This window comes from Homo sapiens, chromosome 7, assembly GCF_000001405.40.
Source record: "Homo sapiens chromosome 7, GRCh38.p14 Primary Assembly".
Taxonomy (NCBI): Eukaryota; Metazoa; Chordata; class Mammalia; order Primates; family Hominidae; genus Homo; species Homo sapiens.
This window is the reverse complement of record NC_000007.14, coordinates 117052664-117075072: the sequence shown is the minus strand read 5'-3', so window position 1 is coordinate 117075072 and position 22409 is coordinate 117052664. Positions and strand designations below refer to the sequence as shown.

Genomic DNA, 22409 nt, shown 5'->3' with positions numbered 1-22409 from the left:
ATCACCTTTATCAACAAAAGAAAGTTTTTAAATATTCAGTTACTTGGATTTAAGCTAGAAAGAATGAACAGCACCCAAAACTACTAAATTCACCCACTAACCCAAATTGTGATAGCATCACATAGTTCAGCTGCAATACTAATTAATTTGAAATTATTCTATGAGATTATACATCTGTACCAAAAAGAATACAAATACAAAAAGGGCACTATTCACCATAGCACCACTGCTTACTGGCCAACAAACCTGTCAACTAACTACAACTCAATGTCTTAGGAGAAGCCAATCACATCTAATTTTGCAGGGGTTCTAAATAGAACACCATTGTTTATGTTGTGGAGTGCTGGTTTCCTTAACTTTACCTGACAGAACTACAAAGATTTAGGAGGTTTAATCTCTCAAAATCTTATTAAAACAAATCCTATTACTCTGCCTCATTATTTGAAGTCACAGTGTATCTAATGACTTTTCTTTTACATGTACTAATCAGGCCTGGCCACCCACAGATATTTGTAAATTGCATTATCTTCTGTCTAACTAGCTCACAGTGTGTGGGGTGAGGGGGGTCGCCATAAACAGTTTCGGTGTGATTTACTTTTCCTAACTGCCAAAGCACTCTCTATGAGGGGGAAAAGATCCGCTATCTAAACAAGATAGTAGCTTGTTTTTGTTTTTCGTTTTTGAGACAGGGTCTCACTCTATTGCCCATGTTGGAGTGCAGTGGCACAATCTCAGCTTACTGCAACCTCCGCCTCCTGGGTTCAAGCGATTCTCCTGCCTCAACCTCCAAAGTAGGTGGGAGTACAGGTGTGCGCCACCACACCTGGCTAATTTTTGTATTTTTAGTAGAGACAGGGTTTCACCATGTTGGCCAGGCTGGTCTCGAACTCCTGGCCTCAAGTGATCCACCCGCCTTGGCCTCCCAACGTGCTGGGATTACAGGTGTGAGCTACCATGCCCAGCCTAGATTAACTGTATCTAGGAAATCATATAACAATATCTAGTTTCTATATTGTTAGAGCACAAACATATAGAACAACCAGTTTAAAGTGACTAGTGTAATTTTTTTCTTAATTTCAAAAGGATTGAGGTCAAAAATCCAATTCCATGATCTGCTAACAATTTTAACTATTATTTTTTCCACAGTGCTTAAAACAATACTTCAAGAAATGTTCAACATTCCACGAGAACAATATCCACGTGAGATGAAAAGAAAAGTCTAAGTTAGTTCCTGATTCCTGGAAGCTGGGAAAGTATGTATTTTATTTGTGTATTTGCTTAACAAACATTTATAGGGCTAATTATAGGCCAGATACTTTTCCACAGATTTCTAAAATATTATTATTAATTCTCATAACTACCCTCTGAGGTATGTACTACTACTGTCCCCCTTTTACAGATGGGGTAACAGGTATAGAGAAGTTAAGGACTTGAGTCATACGAGTAGTGGCAGTAGAAGAAAGAGTTAAACCCGGGTAGTTGGGATCCAAAGTTTGTGGCCCTAACCACTCACACTGCCCTCCACAACAAGCTGCCTCTTTTCAGGAGTACCAGAGACATGTTACCACTTTAGGCAGTTATTATTCAATAATTGTGGACCTTCCTCAGGATAGATGGATGAAAACAAAAGGCAAACAAAGTATATCTGTCCCTATAAAGTATGCCTAAGGTGTTTGTGTCATTCATCTGAACAGAGTTCTACACTACCATGTCCCAAAGTTCCTTTCACTAACATATTATGTAATATACTATGATTTGAATTTTCCTTAATATACCATGAATGGTTTTTTATTTCTAAATCTATCTCATTCATTTAATACTCCACAGTACTAGATTGTGTAGAGGCCTACAGATGTGGTTAAATAGTCTATTGATTTCTTCAGTTGTTATTATTCAGTTGTTATTACTGATTTTATTCTGCCTTTTTTACAGGTCTCATTCCAGTAACTACTTAATACCCCCTGTCAGTCTCCTTCAAAGGCTGAAGCCAGCCTCTGACTGAAGCGCAGCCGCAATGTTTCCTGTCTGGTGCCAGCACAGCTTGCCTGGACTTCTGAAAATTGCAAGCGCTTGCTCCTTGCTAGTCACCACACTCCCCCTTTCTTAGTTGCAGACTCCCTCTTGCTGTGGTTTACCAGGTGCCCTTATTGCCCCTCATGCTTGTGTGCCACTTTGGACTTAATCTGGCACACTTAACTCCCTTCATCTACGCCTGAAGCTGGACAAGCTGAAGTGACTGCGTCACTTTCTCAATTCTGGCTCCTGCCCACCGACCTTGCTCTGCTAGGAGGAATTAGCTCTGCCTGGCCAGAACCCAAGAAGTGACAAATCAAACTCGCTCAATAGGTGGTAATTAAACTTCTGGCTCTAAAGCCCAGAATAGGTTGTCAATGGGATTTCACAGTGGCTCCCTGACACTAAGCAAGGATGTATTTCTACATCTAGTTTTAAATCTTAAACTCTAATAGGATTCTCAGAAAAGACAGTAAAGACTAAGGCCAAAAAAAGTTGTTTAAAGGGGAAAATGACAGTAAGTACAAAAGATAATCTGGGGAAGACCTGGCAATTCTGAAATCAAAACATCTGTTACTAAGTGGATCATGACTGCTTAGTTTCTAGGTGAGCTGAATAAAAATACTAACTGAACAATGATGTAGGTCGTTGTCAAATCTAATCAATTTCTTGTTTGTTTGTTTGTTTTTTTCCATCAGTCTAGAATCTTTAAGTAAGCCATTCAGAAGATGTGATACTATAGAATGATACCAACTGAGGAATAGAGTGGAGAGGAAGGGCTGAAGATGACTTCAGAAAAAGGCCTGAGGCGTGACAAATGTTGATCTCACTCACTGATCTATGCTGTATTTCTTTTAAGAATGTATTAATATAAATGTCCTTTTCTTCCCACATCCAATCCCTATTACTACACCAAATACTTGTTCCTCTAGGAAATGTGAAGTTGAAAAAAATTTCCCCCATTAAATGAGAATTATTCTGCTTATGACATTAGGATATATGCTCTCGCTTTAAAAATAGGAGGCTGTTGAATTCATCATTTGAGTATATTAAATAGACTGTGGAAGAGTATTATCCTCCTGGAAACCTCTTATCCCTCACTCTTATACCACGAGGGATTGCCAGTTAGGTCTAATGACCAATAATATCCACAGCCATAGGTAATCAGAAGAGTTTCTGGTTTCTCTAAAGTGGAAAATAAATTGCTGCCAAGGCAAACCAAATAGCATAGAGTTTTGTATGATCTGCCTCTAATGCTTCTCTGTGTAAACATGCTAACTAATGACATCTGGAGAACAAGCTATGTCATGCAGCTTCCTCAGTGATAACTTTTTAAACACCTGGTTAGAGATCTTTATCCAAGGGTGTAACTGAGTTACCGCACTCCTCAGCCCTAAGCCACCTTGTCAGTTTACCCCAGTGTGCCATACAAATATTACTTTCTATACATGCCATGATATGGAAAAGGTTCGGAAGGCCTGAATTAATATTTATCAAATATCTTACTTTGGCAAAGCCCATATTTTCATATGGTGTCTTTGAAGAATAAAAACATGTTTGAGCTGGAAAGATCCCAGATAACTTTTTCCCAAATGGGACTCCTTCAAGTGTAAGTTCCATAGAATATTAAATGTTAAATTAATTGGGAGAAGGAATTTGAGAAATACTGGGTTAAAGTTTAAAAGTTTTTTTTTTTAAGTGCAGGATGTCTAAGACATTTGGATATGCTGAATGCAGTGTCATTCTCTAGCAGGAGGGTGTAATACAAATTAGTATTTATTTAAAGATGGAGCTTTTAGAATATAGTTTGTTTTGTTTTTGTTTTTGTTTTTGTTTTGAGACGGAGTCTCGCTCTGTCGCCCAGGCTGGATGGAGTCCAGTGGCGCGATCTCGGCTCACTGCAAGCTCCGCCTCCCGGGTTCACGCCATTCTCCTGTCTCAGCCTCCCGAGTAGCTGGGACTACAGGCGCCCGCCACCACGCCCGGCTAATTTTTTGTGTTTTTAGTAGAGAGGGCGTTTCACCGTGTTAACCAAGATGGTCTCGATCTCCTGACCTCATGATCCACCCGCCTTGGCCTCCCAAAGTGCCGGGATTACAGGCTGGAATATAGTTTTTTAGATGGTGGTGAAATGCACAAAAAATGCACATAACATAAAATTTACCATCTTAATCATTTCTAAGTGTACAATTTACTACTGTTAAACATGCTCACATTGGCCGGGCGCGGTGGCTCACGCCTATAATCCCAGCACTTTGGGAGGCCGAGGCGGGCGGATCACAAGGTCAAGAGATTGAGACCTTCCTGGCTAACACCGTGAAACCCCGTCTCTACTAAAAATACAAAAAGAAATTAGCAGGGCATGGTGGCGGGCGCCTGTAGTCCCAGCTACTCCGGACGCTGAGGCAGGAGAATGGCGTGAACCCGAGAGGCGGAGCTTGCAGTGAGCCGAGATCGCGCCACTGCATCCAGCCTGGGCGATAGAGCAAGACTTGTCTCAAAAACAAACAAACAAACAAACAAACAAAACCAATATGCTCACATGGTTGTGCAACCAATCTCCAGAACTTTCTCATCTTGCAAAACTGAAACTTTATACCCTTTAAATCACAACTCTCCATTTCCCCCTCCTCCCATTCCCTGACAACCACCCTTAGAATACCTTTTGCAAGTAATCATTCACAAAATATAATTTGGAAAATGGTGCTTTATATTTTATGGTTCATCGTCTCCTTTTACAGATGAGAAATGGGCCTGAAGATGTTAATAAACTGTACAACATCACAAGTTAATAGTGAACCAGGTCTTGAACTCACTGGACTTTAAGTCTGGCCTCTTTTCACAACACTCAGAGTAGAAAGCTGAAACAAGCTGCTAATTAACCAAATTCCATCACCAAATGTCCTGAAAGTTATTTGTATCTATCAGGTCCATTTCAAAGAAAGGACTAAAAGAATTTTCCCTACAGCCACACTAAGTCCACGATTCTCCAAAGCAGGTACATATAACATCAAGAAGCCCCAATTTAAACATGCCATGCCTTTCTAGAGCATCAATTTCATTTGGTGATTAGAAAATTAACTGTTTTATATTAAAGTAATCACGGATATATTGCAGGGTAAAGTGCAAAATTAACCTAATTTAAAAGGACTTCAAGGGTACAGTGTTTCAGCAGTGAGCTGCTTTTGCCTGTGGTCCAGCTGCCAAGGGCATCCGTTCCTATCTCTGTCTCTAGGGCCTTTGAGAAGCACTGAACTGAAGGGAAGAGCCTAAAATATACAGTAGGACCTGGAGCAAAGCTCAACAGGGGCACTCTGGTAACCCATAAACCAAACTGTGCTTCTACATGCACCTGGTGGGTTCATATCAATTACTAAAGCTCTTAAGTACTTGTTTCTTGATGAGCACCCAAAGTCTCCACAGAAGTAACAAGTCAAGGGGATCTTCCAGTTAATAATCAACCAAAGGAACACAAAAAGGAGTGATATTGTCTCTTGCTAGACATCAAGTTTATGATGTAATGGGACAACTGACAGCAGAAGGGAAAAACTGAATTACGTATCAAGCTCCTATTTGGAATGTCCATTGGAAAATGGCATTTAAATTCCAGTATTTACTTCCTCTTTCTGCAAAATCTACATCCAGAAAACTTAAGTTATACTGTATGCCCATTGAAATTCATTGTTGCAATGTACTTACTAAAATTCAATTACATCTAATCATATTATAATAAAAAGTGAAAAATGATTTCCCCCTGTGTTCTGAAAATTGTCCAAACAGGCAAGCCACAATCTTTTAAAAATAATTCTGCAAAGGGAGGAAGGATATGATACTTTGATCACTAAGTTTTAAATTTTCATCTACAGGCTACTGTCAACATTCTAAGCTTTTGAAATTACCAGCAGATTTTCAAATACAAAATATATAGTGATAATATTCTTTCCTTCATTTTAGCTGTGCTGAAGCAGCTGGCTTGAAGCAGCTGGCAATCCAAGAGCAAAATGCAGCAGAGTGAAGCCAAGCACCTCCTTGACTAGTATCACGTGCTAGTGCAAGGTCGGCTTTGGTTCCACTTGGCATTTCCTTTTAACCTGCCTCAAAAGATCCCTTCTCAGAATATCTGCATCAGTATGTTAATCCTGGCACTGGGTTCTGGGTATTCATTCTTTCCCCAGCTGCTCGCTGTTTCACACCCTCTAAAATCATGGCTCCCCATGCCAAAATGAAAGGCAAAATGGCATATTAATTAAATACACAGAGAATGAGTGCCATGTAAGGTAAGAGGCATGTGCCATGAATATTAATGTAACCCAAGCAATTACAATCATTTGAATCTACTTCCTGTGATAAAAGCCTATACAATGAGAGCTGGCACACCACGTCAGCTGCTCACTGCACAGAAAAGGATGCAGTTAACCTTGGTGAAGGTTAGGAAGCTCTGTTTTAGTCACTAAAAGGAAGACTTCATTTTTCTAATAGAGTAAGGAACAACTCTGGATTTCCAACTCCCCAGGACAGCCAATTATTTTCAGGAGCACCGCTCAATTATAAAAATAACTTTGAATTTGCATTAATTGAAGATGTGTAACATACTGCAGATAGGTGGTGGTAAAGTAGAAAAACGTAGGATGAAACAATTTGTGAGAAAGTTTAAATCATTCTTAGCCATTGCTAGTTAATTTGTAAACAAATTACTCTGTACTTCGGTAAGTGAAATAATATAATAGTAATAAAAACAACTTAGTGCTAGATTGGAGCCACTACCTACCCTAAGACATAAAAAGGAAATGCTTCTTATAAAATGAAAGAATAGTGAAAAAGAAAAAAAAAGAAAAATATATGATTCATTATTTTTGAAATGTGCATTTATAATAGAAATAGTATTTACCAAAATAAGACCAAGCATCCTAAACTGTGAACCCTACAATAACATATGATGTTGCCCTTTACTCTTTATAGCATAACTGAGGTTTCCAGAGGCCTAAATTATCAGACCTGCCAAATCTTTCCGTGTAGATCTAAAAGAAAAAAGAAAAAGAAAAACAACCTAACAAAACACTAATATGTAAGCATGAAATAGAAAATAACAGGAGCTTTGCCAGCTTCATGAAATTTCTCCATAGGCTATATCCCAGCTCAGCCAACACCATGTCAACAAATATCCACTGGATGCAGAATGAAATGTCACTGTGTAGAATTTAAGAGAATTTAAGGGAAGCATCCTTGCTCATAAAGTTGAGACAAAGCACTGTAGCTGAATTGTCTGTTTTGGGTCTGACAAAGATTGTATGAGTCTTTGACCAAACTTTAGTCAGGCTCCTCAAAATCCTCTTCCCAAGTAGATCTCAACTTTTAAACTTTGTGTCCATCTTTGCATCGTCCAATTATTGCAAAAATCTTTAGCCACAATCTCCCACCCTTCTAGTCACCCTCAAAATCTGACCAAATTCCCCAACCCCAACCATCCCCCAGGAGACAGCTCATCACTCTGGCCCATATTCAGCCAGACTCCTGTTAGGTCATTTTATCTTCTCAGTAATTTTCAATCCACTGACACACACCTACCCACCCTGCTCCCTGGCTATAAAACCCCTACTTTTCCTTGTACTCAGAACCAAGCTCAGTTCTATACTGGGGTCTCTTTTCCCCTCCTGCAATAGTCCTGAATAAAATCTGCTTTTACTACTTTAAATGCTGTCAAGCTCTGGTTTTCTTAGTCATTGTGCCACTTTGGAAAACAGTTCAGCAGTTCTTCAAAATGTAAATGATAGAGTTATCACATGATCCAGCAATTCTACTACTAGGTATACGCTCACAAGGATTGAAAACACATGTCCATGCAAAAACTTGTATAAAAATGTTCAGAGAAGTATCGTTCATAAGCCCAAAAAGTAGAAACAACCCAAATGTTCACCAAGTGAAGAAGGGATAAATAAAACATGGTATATCCATATAATAAAATAATAGTAATAGCAACGGAGCACTGATACATGTTACAAAATGGATGGACCTTGAAAACATTAGGCTAAATGAAAGAAGCCATTCACAAAAGGCCAAATGTTTTATACTTCCATTTATATAAAATTTCTAGACTAAGCAAATCCACAGAGACAGAAAGTAGATTAGTGGTTTCCAGAGAATGGTGAGAGGAAGTGGAAAGTAACTGCTAATGGGTATAGAGTCTCTTTCTGGGGTGATGAAAATACTCTAAAATTAGATAGTGATGATGGTTGCACAACTCTGTGAACATACTAAAAACCACTGAATCCCACTTTTTTTTTTTTTTTTTTTTTTTGAGACGGAGTCAGTCTCACTCTGTTGCCCAGGCTGGAGTGCAGTGACATGATCCCGGCTCACTGCAATCTCTGCCTTCCAGGTTCAAGCGATTCTCCTGCCTCAGCCTCCCGAGTAGCTGGGGCTACAGGTGCACACCACCACACCCAGCTAATATTTGTATTTTTTAGTAGAGATGGGATTTCACCATATTGGCCAGGCTGGTCTCGAACTCCTGACCTCGTGATCCACCTGCCTCAGCCTCCCAAGGTGCTGGGATTACAGGCGTTAGCCACCACGCCTGGCTGAATCTCACATTTTTAAAGGGCAGATATTGCTGTATGTGAATTATATTTCAATAAAGCTATTTAGAAAAAAAAAGTCATTGCTACAGGTTCATTTGTTCAATATCTATTTGTTGAGGGCCAACTAAATACCAGGCACTGGAGCTACAATAATACATAGACACGGTCTATTTCCCAGAGTTTATAGTTTTGTTGAGGAAACCTGGGTTTAAACCCTGGTTCAACACTTGTGGGAATCTGGGAAAGTATTTTACTTCCTCATCTACAAATAAGGTTTAAAGGCAGGTGATTGGCACACTGGAAGGGCTTGCTAAATGTTATTTCTAAATGAGTATAAAGGCAAATTATAAATGTCAGGAGAGAGAAAAAACATGAATAAATCAGGAGGACTTAGTTTAGGAAGTAGGAGAATGTATTTCTTCAGGAAATGACATTTGGGCTGAAATCTGAAGGATCAGTTGGAGGGAGTCAAAGAATTTAAGGAACTTGAAGACCTGCAGACAAAGGAAAGTTTAAGTGCAAAGTTCCTGAGGCAAGGAAGAGTTTAAGGTATTTCAGGAACCATGGTCAGATGATACTGAGCAAGTGAGGGAGAGGTAAGCAGGAGCCAGAACGTGCTGGGTCTTGAAGACCAAAATAAGTACTTTGGATTTTATTCTAAGTACAATGGAAAATCACTGACGGTTTTTGAACAGAAGGATGGCATGATCTGAATTACATTTCAAAAAGATGACTGGCTGCTGAGAGGTGAGGAGCATAGTACAGTCAGAAGGCCACTGCTGTGCTCTGAAGGAAATATAATAATGACTTGGATTATGCTATCGCAGAGATTCTAACAACCTTGACAGATACACAGAAATAAAAAGGACTTGAGGCAGAATTCCTTCCTATTCTGCTCTATATATGCAGCCTGCACTGGATAGAATACAAAAGGAAGAGTGAACTGGTATAAAGTGTACCATAAAAGACTTCAGGCCGGGCGCAGTGGCTCACGCCTGTAATCCCAGCAATTTGGGAGGCCGAGGCAGGCAGATCACGAGGTCAGGAGATCGAGACCATCCTGGCTAACACGGTGAAACCCCGTCTCTACTAAAAATACAAAAAAATTAGCCGGGCATGGTGGCGGGTGCCTGTAATCCCAGCTACCCGGGAGGCTGAGGCGGGAGAATGGCGTGAACCCAGGAGGTGGAGATTGCAGTGAGCGGAGATCGTGCCACTGCACTCCAGCCTAGGCGATAGTGCCAGACTCCGTCTAAAAAAAAAAAAAAAAAAAAAAAGACTTGAACCAAAAAGCCCTCAAATTCCTAGTTTTATTCATAACTTGCTATAGAATCTTGGCAAATGCTTCCTCACTGAGTCTCAGTTCTTTATCAGTATAGTTAGAATAATACCTTTTCCTCAAAGGTTACTCTAAGACTTAACTGTCTTAATATATGTGAAAGTGACTGCAGAGTTGCAGGCAGTGTGCTTATAAGTGTTAGACAGTTTAAGAGATACACCCAAAGGAAAACAATATACACAATGAGATTAGTCATTTTTCCCCCTTTAAGGTCAAGGTGTGTTTTGTTTTAATGAGGATAAATTAAGCTGCTTCAATATACGATGGCCTGTAGAGAACACAGTGGGGATCCATCAACTCCTGTTCCATGGCACGCACTTCCCGGGAAACTCTTAAAATTTTTGCAGGTGAATCCTCTCCTACAGACACATCTCTGGGAAGCAAACAGTATTTTAAGAGAAAGCTTTTCCTTAAAGAAGCCCAGACCAGGCAATGTACAGACCTGAAGAAGAACAGTATACATTTGCTATAAAACAGCTTTATGAAGCAACAAATAAGAGAATTGGTTTTAGGAGATAGTTTGGCAAAGTTCATGACAAAATTATCTGTATTACAGCATTAAAATTTGACTGAAGTAAATAAATTACAGTCAAATTTCACCTGCAAACCCCAACACGTTGGTCCTGCTGCTGGTGAAGACACCACTATACACATCATAGTCACCACTTTTCTGAAGGATGTTTGTAATAAGGGTACACTTGGGACTTTTCTCAAGTTAATTAAACAGTTGTGAAAAAAGCAAAATCTTTTGAGACTTTGCTGGAAGCCCCTGACAGAAGCATAGGGAAGTAGTTTTTTAATTACCTTGATATTTCATTAATGTTTTTCTGACTTTTCATAATAATTACATCACATTTATTAAATTTTTTCTAAGAAAGCATTAACTAAAAGAAAAGCAAAAGAATATATGTTTATTTACAATATGTTAAGTAGGATAATATAAAAGAAAAAAAACTTTTCCCATGTATATTGTCCCATAAATTTTAATGTTTATCTTCAATAGAAAAAGGTAGTAGCTTTTTCTTGTTGAATAAAATGCCGTATTAAAAAAACCAAAGGTAATAAAATAGAAAATGCCTTTAAATAAATGCTATATTGTGTTGTCATAGCTATTATTTAATTACTGAAGAAATATGAGGAAATCTAATTATTTCCCTAAATAGAAATTTAATGTTCTGAAAATTATTGTGCTTCAAATCATACAAGAACACTGATACACATTAGTATAAGTAATGCCTGTCGGGAATTGCTATAAATGGCACATACTGGTATTAAATTTCGTCCCCAAGATGTAGTACCAAAGGTATTTTCCATGTTAGTGTATGTTTTTAAAAATTCAGCTACCTTCAAAGAAGCAAGTTAACTATGCTTCTATAGGAAGAGATATAAAACCAAGAAAACAGCAGATGGAATTATTTTATTTTATTTTATTTTGAGACCGGGTCTTGCTATGTTGCCCAGGCTGGAGTACAGTGGTACAATCTCGGCTCACTTCAGCCTCACCCTCCCAGGCTCAGATGATCCTCCCACTTCAGCCTCTCAGGTAGCTGGGACTACAGGTGCATGCCACCACACCCAGCTAATTTTTGGATTTTTTGTAGAGATAGGCTTTCACCACAGTGCCCAGGCTCGTCTTGAACTCCTGGACTCAAGTCATCTGCCCATCTCAGCCTCCCAAAGTGCTAGGATTATAGGCATGAGCCACTGTGCCTGGCCCTGAAATACTTTATACAAACATAAATGCAAAAATCTTTCTCCATGTCCTATCAATTGAAAGAAACAAAAATGAACAGAAACAAAAGCTTTATCATTGTGAAAACATTTAATCTTTGTCCTGGGCTTAAAGCAAAAAAAGAATTGGAACTATATTTTATAATTCACATAAAATCATCAGTCATATTATTTAAAAAGTCTTATCACCCAGATTTCTAATTTAATTCTGTCTAGGACCTCAAAAAAGAACACAGTGAAATACAAAAACAAAAGCAAAGAAACAAAAAAGCAAACAAGATTCTATTTCCAGTTTTATCTTTGATTTTGATTATTTTTCTGTCTATAGGACAATATCCGTATGCTTAAAAAAATCAATTCTTTAAAATATCACTATTGATTAATGAGAGCATCTGCAAAGGTCAAAACCAAGGGATTTCTTAACATTCTTTTCTTCTACTTGAAAGATGTAAAAAACTAAAGGAAAGTTTCCAGCATCCTATGCTCCACTGTATCTGACTATGTAGGGGGATTAAGGCACTAATAATTCCAACTAAAATGGCAGAATTAACCCATTATTTTGGCACAGAATAGACAAACTGAGTTGGTCACAGGAGTGCTAGCCAAGTTCAGGATGTACCATTTTTCTATCCAATGTTTGACATACAGAGTAGATGAACATAAACATTCACTTTTTTCCTATGAAGAATCTACATTTAATTTAACTTACCCATGATAAACTATTGTATTAATGATTATATCTTTTAAGGAGACCTCATAAATTTATTGTATCTTAGAAAAATTTAACATGTATTAAATATAATGTTCCAGAAAAGGAAAAGGGAAAAAAATAAACACATGAATGGCACTGCTACTGCTGCTTAGCATTCTAACAGACCAGCTCACTGAAATAAATTCCATAGACTACTACGAAAGTATGATTGAATTTCATATCACAGTGAGTAAAAGATTAGTAAGCTACCACCTTTAATCAAACAATACTGACTCTGATCTCCATGAGAGCACATGTGCTACAATTAGAATGAGCTCCCTGCTTAGGGGCTGAAAAAGTATAAGATAGGGTACCTGCTGGCAAAATTACCATCTATTATGGACTGAATTGCATTCCTCCAAAATTCTTACGTTGAAGCTGTAGCCCCTAATGTGATGGTATTTGGAGATGGGGCCTTTGGGAGGCAATTAGAATTAGATGAGGTCATGAGAGAAGCGCCCAAGGGACCCTCATAATGGGATTAGTGCCCTCATAAGAAGAGACTCCAGAGGACTTGCTGTCTTCCTCTCTCCCTCTCTCCCACCTTTCCCCCCTCACCCTGTGAAGACACTGCAAGAAAGTGGCCTTCTGCAAGCCAGAAAGAAAGACCTTGTACCAGGGAACCAAGTCAGCTGGCATCTTGATCTTGAACTTCCCAACCTTCATAACTGTGAGAAAGAAATTCCTGTTGAGCCACCCAGCCTATGAAATTTTGTTATGGCAGCCTGAGCTTCTGACTCATATACCATCAAATCAGTCACACACAAGTTATCCTTTTGAATCAGGACAATCCAGAAATATAATCTGAAAATGTGCTTAGATTCTTAAGCTTCATCCTACATATTAATTTTCCAAGTGACAACCAATATAAATATTGTTCCTTTTCTTTTTCTGGCACAGTAATGGCTACACATTTCCTTTTAATGTCAGTGTCCCTCTCTATTACCCTTATATATATATAATCCTCCATCTTTGCTATGTCTGTGGATTCAGACCTTCCTTTAATTACTAATTCAATTTATATTCTTCCCTTGTGCCTTTACAGATATAAAATTCAGGCCCTTTGGTCTTCTGAAAAGTAGAACATTTACATCTAAGTTTTTCTTATCACTGAGACTGGGATTCAGATAATTTACATAAATGTTCTCTGGGTTTCTAATTATTTTACATAATAAATAATTTGCATCAAATTACTTGTAAAAAGCATCATAAATTATTCCTACTACCCCTCCCCTACCCCAATCAAAAGTGTAGAAAGTGAGGTTCAAATAAATTTAAGCAGGCTGGCCAGTGAGAAGGGTGAGCCAATGGACTTGAATCTTTTAAGACTTGCTCTTCCTGCTTCCCCATTTAGTGTAGGAATCCTTAGAGCTCAATTTTGTGGTTAAGACTGCAGGAAAAAAAGCCAAATGGCCAATCTGATTCCCCACAGCCCACACATCTCAGAGACCCAAAACTCCTTTTAATTGTCTTTAAAATGGCAGGACCTAAAACCCCTTTTAATTGTGTTTAAAATGGCAGGACCTAAAACTCCTTTTAATTGTCTTTAAAATGGCAGGACCTAAAACTCCTTTTAATTGTCTTTAAAAGGGCAGGAATTGGATTTATTTTCCCATTTATTTATGGGAAAGGCAATATTATATTTTGTTTTTTTTGAGACAGAGTCTCACTCTGCCGCCCAGGCTGGAGTGCAGTGGTGCAATCTCAGCTCACTGCAACCTCCGCCTCCCAGGTTCAAGCGATTGTCCTGCCTCAACAACCTGAATAGCTGGGATTACAGGCGCCCGCCACCACACCCAGCTAATTTTTGTATTTTTAGTAGAGACCAAGTTTCACCATGTTGGCCAGGCTGGTCTCAAACTCCTGACATCAGGTGATCCATCCACCTCAGCCTCCCAAAGTGCTAGGATTACAGGTGTAAGCCACTACGCCTGGCCAGGCAATATTATATTAAACATTATTTTATCTCATGGTAATCACAGGATTGAGAAAAAAATTGATATATATGAAAAACATTATTTTAATTATTTTTAAAACCCTGCAAACTATCATTTTAATAGAATTACTTTATTGACTATTAGCTTTCACACAATTTTATTATCCTTGAAATCACACTGTGGGTTCTATTCTATTTAACATTACACCTTAAATGTATTTGTCAAGCATTTAGTCTTCATATTTTTCATTGTAATGACTTGATAAGATTGTGCCATGTTGATGTAGCATCACTTACATACCAGTTCCTCTTCAATGAACACTGAAGTTAAACACTAGGGTCTGTATAAGCGAAATGTTTCTATAATTACGGCTTTGCAGTCATGAGTTACCTGATATTCTGCTTGCCTTCTCCACATTTCCTTTACAACTGATTCTGCAACTGATTCTGTAGCTCTCAGGCCTATTTTGATCTCCATTACCCATAGACTCTTATTCTTTAACCAGCCAGTGTCTAGCCCCACCCAAGGTCTGTGTGCCTCAGGTACCCCCAGACTTTCCCACCAAAAGATCCCACTGCACTTGTGTCAACTGGTTATGCTGATCAAACCCTGTAAAATCCAGAACAAAATTTTAAAAGCTAATCAGACAAATCCTAAAAATGGTGGAGGTGTAAAGTCCAAGGTCAGGAATATATTAAAAGAAAACAAACAATTACTTGGTATATGAGAATTTGATTTTTTGAGACAGGGTCTTGCTCTGTTGCCCAGGGTGAAGTGGGGTAGTGCGATCTTGGTTCACTGCAGCCTCAACCTCCTGAGATCAAGCGATCCTCCCACCTCAGCCTCCCAAATAGCTAGGACTACAGGCACACATTACCACACGTAGCTAATTTTTTTTTTTTTTTTTTTTTTTTTTGCAGAGATGAAGTCTTACTAAGTAGCAAAGGCTGGTCTTGAATTCCTGGGCTCAAGTGATTCTCCCACTTTGGCCTCCCAAAGTGCTGGGATTACAGGCAAAAGCCACCGTGCCTGGCCAAGAATCTGATTTAATATTAAGATCCACAGTACTTCTGACCAGAAGCAGTATTTCTGTGAAATATAGTCTCTGAGGGATGACATAATTCTCAACTCCAGAACAAGTTTAGATCTATACCTCTAAAATTAGTAGGAATTTCATATATATCCATATATATGCCAGAAATTCCATATGTTACATACACAAACACATTCTCACACATACACAAGAATGAAACTTTGCCATTATTTCTGTCCATTCTAGCATATCAAATAGGCAAAGACATATTTCTTGCCTTGACCACTATTTTCTTTTTAAATAATAACCTATTCAAAAGCAGAAATTATATCTACTATTTCTTTTTATCTTTAATTTTTGTGGGTACATAGTAGATATGTATTTATAAGGTACATTAGATGTTTTGGTACAGGCATGCAATGTGTAATACCAGGCATCAGGGTCAATGAGGTGTCTATCACCTCCAGCATTTATCCTTTGTGTTACAAACAATCCAATTACACTCTTTTAGTTATTTCTAAATGTACAATTAAATTATATTTGACTATGGTCACCTCATTGTGCTGGCAAATACTAGGTCTATTCACTCTATTTTCTTTTTTTGTACCCATTAACTATCTCCACATCCCCGTGTCCCCACCTTCCCAATCTCTGGTAACCATCCTTCTATTCTCTATCTCCATTAGTTCAACTGTTTTAACTTTTAGCTCCTACAAATAAGTGAGAACAGGCGAAGTTTCTCTTTCTGCGCCTGGCTTATTTCTCTTAATATAATGACCTGCAGTTCCATCCATGTTGTTGCAAATCACAGGCTCTCATTCTTTTTTATGGCTGAATCGTACTCCATTGTGTATATGTACCACATTTTCTTTATCCATTTATCTGTCAATGGATACTTAGGTTGCTTCCAAATCTTGGCTATTGTGAATAGTGCTACAATAAATAGGGGAGTGCAGTATATCTGCTATTTCTTTGATACCATCACACAGTAGTTGTTGAAGAAATATGGCCAATCTATTGACTTAAAAGCTGAGTAAAATTTTTCTACATTGTGACTTCTCATAAAACACAGGATGGATATGAAAATAGGATTTATAATTCTTAAATATTTCCCTTTTTGATAATTGGCTTCCTCTTAAGAATTATGATGCTCAATTTTACCATAATGCACTATGAAATCAAAGCAAATTCAATCTTCAAGTAAAGCAGCACCATGTCCCTTCATGAAAAATAAGTCTCCATAACAACCAATAGAAAAGATATATAGCAGATGGTATTAAATAGAACATATTTGAAGTTTTCCAGATCAAGTGCTTTTATGCAAACTGATCATTAATTTCCAAAGACAGATAAAGCTTTAAAAAATCATGTTTATATTTCACTGGAAAATAAAAATAAAAAATATCATCATACAAACATTATAGGAAATAACCGCTCTTGTGCACAAAGCAAATGTGTTACTGAATTCCCTATCTTATTTAGATAGATAACCTGACTGGCTAAAGAACAATTGAGTTCCAAAAGGTAAAGCACATGTGTTTCCAACTACTCATTCACACAGGTTAATCAATATTCCTGATTCTCTTGACACTCACTAGCAAATATAACAATAAAGAATTAAAAAGTAGAAACCTGTGAAAAATTAGTTTGCTTTCTAATGATAGCATATCTAAATCCTGGCATCTGTGGCCCCCACACAAGAAACAGTCATTATCCTAAGTCAGAGGAGTGGAAACAACTGAGGTTCTGCAAAACATCCCACTCAGGTAGGATTACTATAACTACCAGACTTTACAGGTGGTAACTGAAAAAAATAGAAAGGGATTTTGATTGGTAACTTTTACTTAATAGTACAAATTGTTAGTCCCAGAAAATTAATATGACAGGCCCATGTTCATATACTACATAGTCAAGGAACTCAGGTTCCCTCACTCTACTATATCACTATCTCTTTTCAAAGGTATTTTGTAAAGAGGAAAAATAAGTCCCAATAAAGAAGTTTCTTGTACTATATTCAAATGGATGATTTAGTATGGGTCTGAAATAGCTTAATATCTAATAATGTTAGACATCTTCAATTGGGCAATTATTTGCTGTGTTTGAGCACTTGAAGTCAACTAATCAAGCAGAAACACGTTAGCACATAACTCAATCATACAATCTCTTATTAGGAGAAGCCCTAACTCACAGCATGTAAACAAGTATCTTAAAACTTCCTAAGTCTTAGCTCTTAATTTTTAAAAATTCACAACGAATCAACAATATGGAAAGAGTATCAATTATATACAAACATAAGGTTGAGCACCATGTGAAAAACAGGGTAACAAAAGAAACAGTCCTTGACCTAAGGAATTTTCAAATCTAGTTTTAGTTTTATACTGGGTTAGCTATCACTCAAAGATGCTGGCAAAAGAAAGTCACTTTCAGATATATGAAGAATAAATGGAGTTATTCTACTTGAATACATAAGTATAATGACATAAATTAGGTAATGAAATACAGCTCTAAGTATGTATATGAAAACCTTTAAATTGGCCACAATTTAAAATAATTACATTTTAAATAGTCTACCTTTCAAAATCATTAGAGAAAAAAATATAAAGACTCAATGAAAACTAAATCTACAGCTTTAGATCATCCACAAACAGATAACCACCGACTGTATCTCAGATACTGACACTATATTGAAATGGGCAGGATCAGAGCTAGGACCCTTCAATACACCAAGAGAATCCTCCCTCAGGGTGACCTTGATGTAAAGGAATCTCTTATAAATGTAATCTCTTATATGTGTAATTGAGCATCATAATTCTTAAGAGGAAGCCAATTATCAAAAAAGGGAAATACTTAAGAATTACAAATCCTATTTTCATATTGATCCTGTGTTTTATGAACAATTACAATGTAGTAAAATTTTACTCAGCTTTTAAGTCAATAGATTGGCTATATTTCTTCAAGATCCTTGTGTAAAGATTTTGTGTAAGATCCTTTCTACTTTACACTTTCTTCTATTTTATCTTCTTTATTTTTTTTAATTTATTTTTATTTTTATTTTTGAGACGGAGTTTCGCTCTTGTTGCCCAGGCTGGATGCAATGGTGCAATCTTGGCTCACTGCAACCTCTGCCTCCTGGGTTCAAGTGATTCTCCTGCCTCAGGCTCCCGAGTAGCTGTGATTACAGGCATGTGCCACCACACTCAGCTAATTTTGTATTTTTTTTAGTAGAGATGGGGTTTCTCCATGTTGGTCAGGCTGGTCTCAAACTCCCAACCTCAGGTGATCAGCCCGCCTCGGCCTCCCAAAGTGCTGGTTACAGGCATGAGCCACCATGCCTGGCCTATTTTATCTTCTTTAATCTCATGTAACTCTCACAACTCTGAGCAAGAAATATACTCAGCAGCACTGCACAAAAACCCTTTTATCACCTGGCACAGCTTTCCCATCTCACCTAGTGTGATTGTTAATGCTGAGTGTCAACTTGGTTGGATTGAAGGATGCAAAGTATTGATCCTGGGTGTGTCTGTGTGGGTGTTGCAAAAGGAGATTAACATTTGAGTCAGTGGGCTTGAGAAGGCAGACTCACCCTTAATCTGGTGGGTACAATCTAATCAGCTGCCAGTGAATATAAACCAGGCAGAAAAACGTGAAAAGACAAACAAGACTGGCCTCGACTCCCAGCCTTCATCTTTCAGGAAGCTGGATGCTTCCTGCCCTCAAATATTGGACTCCAAGTTCTTCAGTATTGAGACTCAGACTGGCTGTTCTTGCTCAAGCTTGCAGACAGCCTACTGTGGGACCTTGTGATCGTGTAAGTTAATACTTAATAAATTTGCCTTTATATATATGTATATCTATCCTATTAGTTCTGTCCCTCTAGGGAACCCTGACTAATACACCTGGTTAATTAAGCCGGAACAAAAAGTCCTACTGCCAGTTTCAATAAAAAGAAGCAATAGTACCAGAAAGGGGGAGACTTGTAATTTACCCAAATATGAACACCAAAAGCACCTAATATTTTATCAGATAAATAAATTCCCACTTCCCAACTGAGCAAATAAGGACTTAAAGGTCAGAGTGTAGTGGTTGGAGCACAGGTTATTGGTGACAATGACCTGAGTGCAAATCCTGGGTCCAGCAAAGAGAAGTTGTACAATCTAGGATTATTCACTCAATTTATCTGCACCTAAGTTTCTTCATGTATAAGTTGGGGAATAATCCCAGCACTTTGGGAGGCCGAGGCAGGAGGATCACCTGAGGTCAGGAGTTCAAGACCAGCCTGGCTAACAAGGCGAAACCCTGTCTCTACTAAAAATACAAAAAATTAGCCAGGTGTGGTGTCATACACCTGTAATCCCAGCTACTTGGGAGGCTGAGGGAGGAGAATTGCTTGAACTCAGGAGACGGAGGTTGCAGTAAGCCGAGATCATGCCACTGCGCTACAGCCTGGGCAACAAGGCAAGACTCCATCTTAAAAAATAAAATAAAAAAATTAAGGAGCAGAAAATAAATAAATAAATAAATTGGGAGATAACAACAGTACCCACATGTCACAGAGGATTATATCAATCAAACTGAATCCTTGGTATAGTGAATTACTTTTTAGTAATTGAGCAATTACTGGGTGACTATTAATCACTATTATACATAATTCTGATTACTTCAATTAAATTGTCCAAGGCCATGTATTTAATAAGAAGTGGAGGAAAAATGTTAACTTAGAACCAATGAATGCATGACTGGGGTTCCCTATACCACATTACCACCACACACAATGCCTAATATTCCTAATTCATCTGCTTTTCCTTGTATGTAGCCCTTTCTTCATCTTTGTAAAGAAATATCATGAGATGGATGTATTACTGAAATCCAAATGTATTTGCTGCATTTTCCTGGCATGTCCAGCAGAGAGTTCAGTGACAAACATCTGTCAGATACTGGTTGTTTTTAAAAAAACAATGTGCTGGGGAAATGCTCACGTAGAACTTAGGTGAAACTGTTCTGTTCTTCACCCATGAAGACATATTTGTCATATTACCAAATAAACCAAAAACCAAAGCCCACACCTCAAGCATAGCACATTTATAGCACAGACAAAGTGTGATAAAGGAATGGCCTAACAAAGGCAGAATTCACTTATATTCTGTGTTCATGGTGTCCTTTGAAGAAGAAGAGGAAAACTCAACAATAAATGTCACCTCCTAAGTAAATTACCAGCTCAACTCTACCCACCTCCACCTCCGGGATGCATGTGCGACGCATTGTGTCACAGGCACAGCAGTAAGAAAGAGCAGTTCCTGATCTCTGAAGGATTTTAAGAGACTTGTGCTGCAACACTGGAGACCAGCTTGACAATTCCAAGAATGGAGGCCAGTAGAGAGACACAACCTTACTGAACAATGCCTCCACTTCACTGGCTGTGTTCTTTTGTGTTTATTTTACAGTTTTAACAAAAGCAGATCATACCTAAAGGGGTGTGCGCACAGATTTTAAAATACAGTAAGTAGAGAGTGCTCAGAGTGTGGGAAAGCTAGCTAAGGTCAAAACTGTCTAGACCGGCGGGCACGGTGGCTCATGCCTGTAATCGCAGCACTTTGGGAGGCTGAGGTGGGCAGATCACCTGAGGTCAGGAGTTTGGAACTAGCCTGGCCAACATGGTGAAACCCCATCTCTACTAAAAATACAAAAATTAGCCAGGCCTGGTGGAGCATGCCTGTAATCCCAGCTACTCGGGAGGCTGAGACAGGAGAATCACTTGAACCCATGAGGCAGAGGTTGCAATGAGCAGAGATCCCACTCCAGCCTGGGTAACAGAGCAAGACTCCGTCTTAAAAAAAAAAAAACCGTCTAGTCCTCTGTTCTGTTCTGTTCTTCACCCATGAAGAACATCAGTACATCACTCTCCCACACCATACATAACTCTCTATCTTCCCTCCCATATAATTACTTCCCACCAATCATAAATTATAAGAGCATCTACATCTATCTGACCATCCTATTCCCAACATCTAGCCAGTTTCTGGAATGTGGAAATTGCTCAATCAACAGTTGCTGACTGAAGGGTGGCCAGAAGGAGGTGGCCTGCTGAGACCCAAGGGACTGGCACAGTGGAGGGCTGGGATGAGGATAAAGCAGCTCAAATTTGGCAGCTCAAAGCTGTGGTAAGAGGGCTGTCCCTATCTTTCCCTAGTTCTAGTCATTGTTGCAAGGCAAGATCCAGAGGTACAAGCAACAAATGGAAATGCTGAAAAGCTTCAAAGGAGGAGGGCAAAGATCCCCGTGAGTAACAGAGCTGACTTCCCTAACAAGAGTAGTCCGTGTTTAACTCTGGCACCTTCGAGAGCATCGAAAAACACTGTAAGAGTTGAGAGCCCGGAAATGGCTTGCCAGGAGACTAGGGTTTTTAGTGCAATTGTTCTGATGCCCTGATCATTATTCTATAGCTGCCTGGAGTAGACAGTGGTTTTTACAAACTATTTTGGTTTGAGTAGAAAATTTAGTTTGTTTCGTTAAAACAATGTGCTCTGTAAAAAACTGTCTGGCTTTTTTTCCTTAATTTAAAATTTCTCTACGAAGAACAACAAACAACTTAAATGCTCAACAACAGGAAAATGATTAAGTATTCCATGCAATGGAATATCATATAGCCATTTAAAATGTTGTCTTTGAGTAATAGTTGATAAGATACAGAAAAGAGTCAGAATGTTAAGTAGAAAAATGAGGATATAAAATTGCACATAAAGTATGAAGCAACACACTGACTAGATTTTTTCGTTTGTTTGTTTGTTTTTTTGTTTTTTGAGATGTAATCTTGCTGTGTCGCCCAGGCTGCAGTGCAGTGGCGCGATCTCAGCTCACTGCAAGCTCCGCCTCCTGCGTTCACGCCATTCTCCTGCCCCAGCCTCCTGAGTAGCTGGGACTACAGACGCCCGCCACCACGCCCAGCTAATTTTTTGTATTTTTAGTAGAGACGGGGTTTCACCGTGTTAGCCAGGATGGTCTTGATCTCCTGACCTCGTGATCCACCTGC

General features: G+C 38.6%; 1 protein-coding gene and 1 long non-coding RNA gene across 18 annotated transcripts in view; one reads left to right on the top strand and one right to left on the bottom strand.

The window, feature by feature from the left end:
• ST7-AS2 (ST7 antisense RNA 2) overlaps nt 1-3001 on the top strand; it is a 73521-nt gene extending 70520 nt beyond the window's left edge. Inside the window, exons 3-5 of the long non-coding RNA NR_109980.1 lie at nt 1147-1253; nt 1933-2619; nt 2712-3001. This is a non-coding gene — a long non-coding RNA (ST7 antisense RNA 2). The remainder of the gene's footprint in view (nt 1-1146; nt 1254-1932; nt 2620-2711) is intronic.
• The window catches only part of ST7 (suppression of tumorigenicity 7), a 276676-nt gene that overhangs the window by 155104 nt on the left and 99163 nt on the right, over nt 1-22409 (bottom strand). The window lies entirely within an intron of this gene.